General features: G+C 63.2%; 1 protein-coding gene across 11 annotated transcripts in view, besides 2 other annotated features; it reads right to left on the bottom strand.

Moving 5' to 3' along the window:
• Nucleotides 1554-1754: a silencer, noted in NCBI's record as "peak1145 fragment used in MPRA reporter construct". NCBI's record gives its function as "represses an SCP1 promoter by STARR-seq MPRAs in K562 erythroleukemia cells {active_cell/tissue: K562}" and the evidence as "EXISTENCE:reporter gene assay evidence [ECO:0000049][PMID:32103011]".
• Nucleotides 3111-8621, bottom strand: part of PTDSS2 (phosphatidylserine synthase 2) — a 43132-nt gene continuing 37621 nt past the window's right edge. For 4 of the 11 annotated variants that reach the window (XM_047427642.1, XM_024448699.2, NM_001329544.2 and 1 more), the window contains 8 exons: nucleotides 7437-7619; nucleotides 7040-7090; nucleotides 6198-6311; nucleotides 5863-5981; nucleotides 4996-5110; nucleotides 4777-4922; nucleotides 4442-4627; nucleotides 3111-4090 (listed from right to left, as the gene is read on the bottom strand). In XM_047427642.1, coding sequence (XP_047283598.1) covers nucleotides 3928-4090; nucleotides 4442-4627; nucleotides 4777-4922; nucleotides 4996-5110; nucleotides 5863-5981; nucleotides 6198-6311; nucleotides 7040-7090; nucleotides 7437-7619 — 1077 coding nt within the window. In that variant the 3' untranslated portion in view covers nucleotides 3111-3927. The remainder of the gene's footprint in view (nucleotides 4091-4441; nucleotides 4628-4776; nucleotides 4923-4995; nucleotides 5111-5862; nucleotides 5982-6197; nucleotides 6312-7039; nucleotides 7091-7436; nucleotides 7620-8621) is intronic. The other 7 variants (NM_001329548.2, NM_030783.3, NM_001329545.2 and 4 more) reach the window with 3 other exon arrangements.
• Nucleotides 6502-6642: a silencer, noted in NCBI's record as "fragment chr11:487868-488008 (GRCh37/hg19 assembly coordinates)". NCBI's record gives its function as "represses an EF-1alpha promoter that drives an FKBP-Casp9 reporter gene in an ReSE screen in HepG2 liver carcinoma cells {active_cell/tissue: HepG2}" and the evidence as "EXISTENCE:reporter gene assay evidence [ECO:0000049][PMID:32094911]".

Raw genomic sequence — 8621 nt, 5'->3', positions numbered from 1 at the left:
GGCTCTTGTCCTTCCTGGGGTCCTTGCGAGGCGCTGGCATTGGAGACGACACCACCCCACTTGGCTTCTCTCCCTGCCTAAGGGACCCCGCACCAGGGAAGCAGCCCAAGGCCCTGGCTGTGCTCAGCTGGGTCCCCTGAGCTGCACCCACCCACACTGGGGAGCACAGGGCAGGCCCTGCCCAGGGTGGAGGGATGCCCCTTGGCTCTGTTGCCCGTGCAGGGTGACGCCTGCTGGGAGCTGCCTGCAGGCCCAGCTGCTCCCGCAGCTTCCACCCCGGAGCCTCAGGAGCCCCCAGCACTGCCCTGACTGCCCCCCAGCCCAGCCCAGCCCAGCCCAGCCCAGCCCAGCCCAGCCCAGCGCGGCCCAGCGCGGCCCGGGTTCCTGCCCGGAGCCCAGTGCTCGCCCCAGCTCTGTGTGGGATGATGGGGCAGCCCATCTTGCCCACGGGTGGACAGCTGACCAAGGTGGGCCAGCCCGGGGTGCCCTGCCCTGCCAAGCCAAGAGGGGGACGCTCACCAGCTTTCAAAGGTCCGATGCTGAGTCAGCAACTACAAGTTCATTGCAAAGAAGCTGCCTGGCAATCCCCCTCTTTTGGACAGGGTCTCTCTCTTGCCCAGGCTGGAGTGCAGTGGCGCAATCTTGGCTCACTACAGCCTGGACCTCTGGGACTCAAACCGTCCTCCCACCTCAGCCTCCCAGGTAGCTAGGACTACAGGCATGCACCACCACACCTGGCTAATTTTTGTACTTTTTGTAGGGACAGGGTCTTGCCATGTTGCCGAGGCTGGTGTTTGGTCTTGGCCTCCCAAAGTGCGGGTATTACAGGTGTGAGCCATTGCACCTGGCTATAAAGCCCTTTAAAGTGACCCAGGGGCTGGGCGCGGTGGCTCATGCCTGTAATCCCAGCACTTTGGGAAGCTGAGGTGGGCGGATCACTTGAGGTCAGGAGTTGGAGACCAGCCTGGCCAACACGGTGAAAACCCATCTATACTAAAAATACAAAAATTAGCTGGGTATGGTGGCGCATGCCTGTAATCCCAGGTACTCGGGAGGCTGAGGCATGAGAATCGCTTGAACCTGGGAGGTGGAGGTTGCAGTGAGCTGAGCTCACGCCAGTGTACTCCAACCAGGGCGACAGAGTGAGACTCCGTCTCAAAAATAAATAAGTAAAATAAAGTGACCCAGGATCTTAGTTTCTTAACTATGACCTCCAGTGGGGAACAGAGCTCCTTGGGGAAATGGGTGACGCCAGGCCTGGGGCGAGAGATGCCCAAGGTGAGTCCGGAGCATCTCAGCGCGTGAGGAACCAGAGCCCCTGGGCGCTGTCTGGGGTTGAGTTGCTGCCGGAAGGGCTCCCAGGGGCTGCCTTTGGGACACGGGCGCCGGAACACAGGACTTTAATCACAAGCCCTGCCTCGCCCTCCTCGGGAAGAGCAGATGGAGACCGTGAGCGGGGCGCCACCCCCACCTGCTACCACCTGGCTCAGAGCATCAGCGGGGATGGACAGCGTGGGTGGAGTGACAGGACCCGCAGCGCGTGAGGGGGGGAGTGGGGGCCCCTGCAGTGGGGAGATCAGGTGGCAGTTCCTCCTGAGCGATCAAAGCTGCCACCTGCAAAGAGCAGAATGCTAAGGCCCCATGTGTCCTGCAGCACGCAGGGCAGGGCAGCTGGAAGAACTCATCCGTGCAGGGCCACGGAGGCCAAAGCTGTGAGTGGCCGTGACTGGAAAGAGGACTGCTAGGCGCGGTGGCCACACCGGACGTCTTCCTGCTGAGCCCCAGAGGCTGCTCTTGTGTGTGCTCCACATTACAGCCCTTGACTTAGAGGGCTTGAAATTTTCCCCAAAAGTAGTCAAGGAAAAATACTAAAAGTAAAGCTTTTTGACGCCCGGGGCCCCGAGGCAGACCCGGGGGTGTGGGTGCAAATGGCTCCCGGAGTCCCCCCAGGCTGTGTCCAATCAGCCATCAACACCCCTTACTACCCCCTCCAGCTAGGAACAGGGCTCAGGGAACCCCTTTTCTCTCCATTTGTGTTTGAAAATTTTCATGGTAAAGTTTTAGAAATAGTGGCCTGGCTGGGCGCGGTGGCTCACGCCTGTAATCCCAGCACTTCGGGAGGCCAAGGCGGGTGGATCACCTGAGGTTGGGAGTTCAAGACCAGCCTGGCCAACATGGTGAAACCCCATCTGTACTAAAAGTACTAAAATTAGCCGGGCATGGTGGCATGCGCCTGTAATCCCAGCTACTTGGGAGGCTGAGGCAGAATTACTTGAACCTAGGAGGCAGAGGTTGCAGTGAGCCAAGATCACGCCACTGCACTCCAGCCTGGCTGACAGAGTGAGACTCCATCTCAAAAAAATAGTGGCTCAAGCTGGGCATGGTGGCTCACGCCTGTAATCCCAGCTCTCAGGGAGGCAGAGGCAGGAGGATCACTTGAACCCAGGAGTTCGAGATCTGCCTGGGCAATATAGCGAGACCCCGTTCTCCACAAAAAGGAAGGAAAGAAAAAGAAAAAAAAACATAAAAATAGTGGCCCGAGAAGGCGGCTGCCCCTCCCCAGGAATCCTGTGTCCACTGCCCAGTGTCTGCCAGCCTGGGACAAACACAGCACCCCAGGAATCCTGTGTCCACTGCCCAGTGTCTGCCAGCCTGGGACAAACACAGCACCCCAGGAATCCTGTGTCCACTGCCCAGTGTCTGCCAGCCTGGGACAAACACAGCACCCCAGGAATCCTGTGTCCACTGCCCAGTGTCTGCCAGCCTGGGACAAACACAGCACCCCAGGAATCCTGTGTCCACTGCCCAGTGTCTGCCAGCCTGGGACAAACACAGTACCCCAGGAATCCTGTGTCCACTGCCCAGTGGCCGCCAGCCCTTGGACAAGCGCAGCAGAGGGTGGGTGCCACCTGGACCCTCCTGGAGAATGGGAGAGGGGCTGCATCTGGCACCTGCTCTCTCTGGGGGGTGGGGCGGGGCAGGCGCCAAGTCTTTGCTCAGGTGCAGAGGCTGAGTGCCTCCTGTCCTCTGTGTGGTTTTCCCCAAGTGGGCACTGGGCATGAGGGCAGGCTGGAGGGCTGCACTGGACCCCAAAGCAGGACACGGGGAGCTGGGGGGAGGGCTGGAAGCCTCAGACGTTCGTTGTCACTTTATTGGTTCTCTTTGCTCGTGAAGATGACCCTCACCTTGGAGCCACGGAGGCAGCATGACCCCAGCACCCGGGTTCCAGGCCCCCTTGAGGGGCAGCTCAGTGATCTCTGACCCCATCATCCACGTGTCCTCCGGGGTGGTCTGTGTGAAAGGAAGGCTCGGAGGAGGTGGCTCAGCATCGCTGCCTGGATCCGCTGCCTCTCAGCCACGGAGTGTTTGTGGACGAGCGCCCACACGAGCTGCGGGGGAAGTGGATGTGGAGCCAGTGTAGACGCCTCCAGGCCTCAGCGCACCCAGGGCCCACGGAGTGCAGAAAGGGTACCGAGATGTCCCTGCCTGGACCACACCATGGCTGGGTGACAGGGAGCTTGGTGGGCCAGAGGCCACGGGGCTGACCAGGCAGAAAGGGGAGGGAGGACCCTGGTTCCTGAGGGACACACTGCCCCAGAGCATGCCCTTGCCACGCCAGCCAGCTCCCAGCTCTGGAGAAGCCTCGGAGCCCAGAGCACACGTGCACACCACAGGCGGCCACGCATGTGTACACACGCGCGTACACACGCGTACACACACGCATACACACGTACACACGTGTACACATGGAGATGAGGCTGTGCTGGGGCCTCCTCCACCCCTCGCCTTCAGCCTCGCCAGGTGCACAGGAGAAAAGCAAAAAACCTTGAGGGCAAGGCCGGGCACGTGGCTCCTGGTGGGACTCACACAGGAGGAGGCCACGGAGGCCTGGGCTCTGGGAGGCTCACGAGGCAGCCACGGCCCAGGTCAGTTTGGAGTTGGTGCTCCCTCGCCCTCGGCCACCCCAGGCCCCAGCAGGTCTTCGTCCAGCCCCAGTGGGTGCTGGTCCCCGTTGCCGACGGTGCTGCCCTGGTCATCCTTGTTCTGCCACTTCTGCCACCGGGTCTCCTTGTACCTCAATGTGATGTCCCTGGGGAGCGGGATGCAGCGTCACCACCTGCCCCCACACCAGCCCCACTGCAGGCCCCATGGACAGCTGGCACCTAGTCCCTGTGGAGGTCCGGAATGGACTGGGTGGGTGCCGGGTACCCTGGCCCTGGGACGGCAGCCGTGGCAGACTGGAGCCCTGAGGAGCCTGGATCTGTCAGTGCAGAGCGAAGGCCCCGAGGGCTGGGTCAGGAAAGGCGCCTCCCGCAGAGGCGGCCAGAGGGTTGAAGCAGGGACAGTGAGACACCAACGACACCAAACTCCCACAGTGCCTGTGCCAAGGGACCCGGACAGCGGCCCTCCTTCAGAACATACGCGCCCTGCCCTGACTCACCGCAGGAAGAAGCGCCAGACGGTCCAGGTGAGCGCCAGGACGGAGCCGAGGGTCCAGCACTGGGAGATGTAGAAGGGCAGGGACAGGGTGAGCGTGTGGGGGTCGTACTTCACCACGATGAGCAGCTCCGTGGCCGTGATGGCCGCCACCAGCCAGGCCTGCGGGCCCAGCTTCTTGTGGGGCTTCCTGCAGGGGCAGCAGGGGGTTCAGCGTCCCGGGCCCCGCAGGGTCCTCCAGGCGGACTTGCCCAGGCTCCGGCCTCCCAGGCTCTGCTCCCCAGCCCTCCGGCCCCTGCCCCCCGGGGGTGTCTCCACCCGGACTGCCGCAGCCCTCACGGGTCATCCATGAAGTCGTAGATCTCACGCATGGCCACGCCACCCACGTTCACGAAGAAGACGAGCCGCAGGAGGACCAGGTAGTGCTCCGGGGGCATCCACAGCACAAACTTCAGGTAGAACGTGTTCAGTTCTGCCAACAGGAACTAGGGGAGGAGAGGGTGAGCACCAGCTCTGGCCCCCCGCCCGCCGCGCCGTCGCGAGGCAGCCCGGCCTTACCACCAGGATGATGCCGCACACGGCCAGCCAGCGACGCAGGCTGGAGGCCGGCTTCCACTCGAAGCGAACCCAGCTGTACGGCGTGAACTGGAAGGCGATCCTCTTCATCTTGCCCCTGGGAACCACAGAGCCGGCAGCCTGAGGAAGGCAGCCCACCGAACCCTGCCCTGTGCCATCGGGCAACAGACTGTTCCTGGTCACCCGGCCCCGCCCTGTGCCATCGGACGAGCTCTGCTCTTGGTCACCCCGCCCCGCCCTGTGCCATCGGGCCACAGACTCTGTTCCTGGTTACCCAGCTGCTGCCCGGCTGTTCTCCGAGGTCTGGCCACCCAGCTACAAGCCCTGCTTCTCCACGGCCCTCTGCTGTTCAGTCTCTTCCAGCTTGAGCAGTGGCTGCAGCGCCTCAGAGGGCGCTCCACGGTGCCGTGAGCTAGCCATGTCTGCAGAGCCAGGCAGAGCCGGGGCACCCACAGGCAGGAGGGGAGACCCCCGTCCCCCAGGCCTTTCCTTAGACTTCTGTTTCTTTTTTAAATTCCAAAGTCATAATGACAAAGTACCTGCAACTATTTCATAACCAAAGCAACCAAGGGAGGGAGAAGCACGGAATGATCCCACAGCCCCTGCGCCAGGCCGGCCAGGGATTGAGGAGGGAGGTACGTGGGTCAGACGCCATGGCCACTGTGAGGGGCGGCCGGGCTTGAGTGACACCAGGTCAGAGGGAGGTTCCAGGAGGCAAAGCCCCACGGTCACCCCTCCTGAGCCGCACACTGGACGGGCCTGGTGCTCGGGGTCTGCTGGAGCACGGACGCTGAGGCTGCCTCCAGGTAACCCCCACCCGGCCCTGCCCTCGCAGCCCCCACGACGTACTTGTAGGTCGGAATGTTCCAGAGGCCCTGCCACTTGTACGTCTTCAGGGACAGCCACTCAAGGGTCTTCATGCCGCAGTAGATGCCCAGCCCGTTGCAGACGAGCACGTCCATGATCCACTGCAGGGAGGGGCCAGCACTCGTTGCAGGGGTGAGGGGTAACGAGCCCCCCGAGGAGGACCCCGGAAGAGCACAGGGGAACCGAGAATGCCCCTCAGCCTGCACCCACTGCCCCCCGGGGAGAATGAGGGGGTCCAGGGGCCGCGCTGGGCACAGGGGTTCCGAGAATGCCCCTCAGCCTGCACCGACTGCCCCGGGGGCTGTGCTGGCACCTACGTGATCCCACCAGCACTCGCTGAAGTTGGGCAGCTGGTGCTCCAGGCTGTACTCCAGGAACTCGAACATCACGCTGATGATCATGCACATCCACCAGTCTCGGATCATCAGGGTCTGTGGGCGCCAGGGTCAGCCAGAGTATGGGACGCCGGCCACACCCGGCCCTGCCCACGGGTGCGTGCAGCCCCCACCCCGGCTGGCAGCCAGAGTATGGGACGCCGGCCACGCCCGGCCCTGCCCACGGGTGCGTGCAGCCCCCACCCGGCTGGCAGCCAGAGTATGGGACGCAGGCCACGCCCGGCCCTGCCCACGGGTGCGTGCAGCCCCCACCCCGGCTGGCAGCATTCTTGGAGTCGACAGCACTGGCAGGGCCCCCAGTGAGGTCTCAGGGTGAGCGTGGGGTGGGTGGCTGCCCCTCCAGCAGCCTCGATGTACGACTGTCAGCAAACAAGGCAGCATCCCCGTGCCCGGGGCCTGACACCAAACTCTGCCAGGGTGGGCTGCAGGGTCAAGCAGGCACTGCTCTTAGCCCCATAGGTAGCACAGGGTCCCTCAGAAGTGGGATGGGGCAGTGCCCAAGCCCAGGCAGGGGCGGGACTTCCTGCCCTGCCGCCTCTTTCCACCGCCCCGACCCTGAGGACGGAGCGGGGACCCGACCAGGATCAGGGCTTCTGGGAGGTCCGGGAGCCCCACGGCTTCTCGAACCTCTGGGTGGCTGCAGTGCGACACCCTCCCACCACACTCAGAGCACCCTGAGCTCAACTCCATGGACAGAAACGGTCCAGAGCCCACGGCAGGCCTCAGAACCGGGGCGGGGAGGCCGGGAAGAGGAGGTGCCGTACCTTCAGGTACCAGCCAAGAAAGTGCGCGGGAACAAAGCCATCCAACTTGTCCTGTGGGCGACAGGGTATGACCCTTGACCCTGGGGCACAGCCACCCCCACTCCCCACACCGGCAGATCAGCCCACACCTGAGCAGCACCTGCCAGACCCCGGGAAGAAGGCCAGGGACTCACAGGTGCTGCCGTGGCCTGTGGAGACCACGTCCACGACAGCCTAGAGAGCAGGGGCCCCCTGCCCACCATGAGCACCATCCAGACGGACAGGGCCTCAGCACATCTCTGCACCAGGAGACCCCAAGTGTGGGCTGAGGGGTGCGAGGCAGGAGCGTGGATGGCGCCTGGTCCGGCACGGGGCCACACCTGGGGAGGGGCTCGCCTCAGGGCCCCCGGCGTCTTACCCAGATGTTGTGAAAGGGGTCAGTCTCATTGTCTGGGTCGTAGATGAGGCAGTTTCCCCCGTAGTCTCTCTCTGGCAGTGGGACTCCCAGCTTGGGGTCAACATACTTTAGAAACTGCCGGCCGTCCTGGACAGTCTGCAAGGCCAGTGCCCCCGTCAGCGGGGCTACAGTTAGTGGTGGCAACTTGAAACGGGAGATCATGGTTGTTTATTTATTTTATTTTTTTGAGATGGAGTCTCGCTCTGTCGCCCAGGCTGGAATGCAGTGGCGTGAACTGGGCTCACTGCAAGCTCCGCCTCCTGGGTTCACGCCATTCTCCTGCCTCAGCCTCCCGAGTAGCTGGGACTACAGGCGCCCGCCACCACGCCCGGCTAGTATTTTTTTTTTGTATTTTTAGTAGAGACGGGGTTTCACCGTGCTAGCCAGGATGGTCTTGATCTCCTGACCTCGTGATCCGCCCACTTCGGCCTCCCAAAGAGCTGGGATTACAGCCGTGAGCCACCACGCCCGGCCAGGAGATCATGGTTGTAAACTGCATCTCAGTCACCCTGGAGGAGGGCAGCGCCCTGTCTCAGCAGCCCTCCCCACCCCAGGGAAATCCTGGTGGGGCAGCGCGTGGGGAAGGAACCCCCAGGCACGACACCCCATCTCCACACCTGCGCTCCCCGGGGCCAGGTGGGCACAGGTGCGCTTCAGGACATGGGGGTCTAGGACCGCTGGACAGACGGGAGCGGGATGGGGCCCTGAGTTACTGCGGCGCGCCGCCCCCACCCCGACCCCTCCCCGCATGCGCGCTCAGGCCAACACCCTCACAGGAGTCGCCCTTGTGGAACCTGCTCTTTCCTCACCCAGACGCTGGCATCAGCCAGATACACCTCTTGACCTTAGGGCAAGGCAGGCTTTTGGGCCTGACGTCAAGGGAGGTTTACATCATTTACAGACACCTGTGCTCACAGCACACACGCACCAGGGCACCAGCTGTGTTTACACTCGCCTGCGCACACGGTGAACACACACGCCCGTGCACTGTTTACACTCGCCTGCGCACACGGTGAGCACGCGCGCCCGTGCACTGCTTACGCTCGCCTGCGCGCACGGTGAGCACACGCGCGCCCGTGCACTGTTTACGCTCGCCTGCGCGCACGGTGAGCACACGCGCGCCCGTGCACTGTTTACGCTCGCCTG

The sequence above is a fragment of the Homo sapiens genome, chromosome 11 (genome assembly GCF_000001405.40).
Source record: "Homo sapiens chromosome 11, GRCh38.p14 Primary Assembly".
Lineage (NCBI taxonomy): Eukaryota > Metazoa > Chordata > Mammalia > Primates > Hominidae > Homo > Homo sapiens.
Note: the sequence above shows the minus strand (reverse complement) of the source record. Positions and strands in the feature narration are given on the sequence as shown.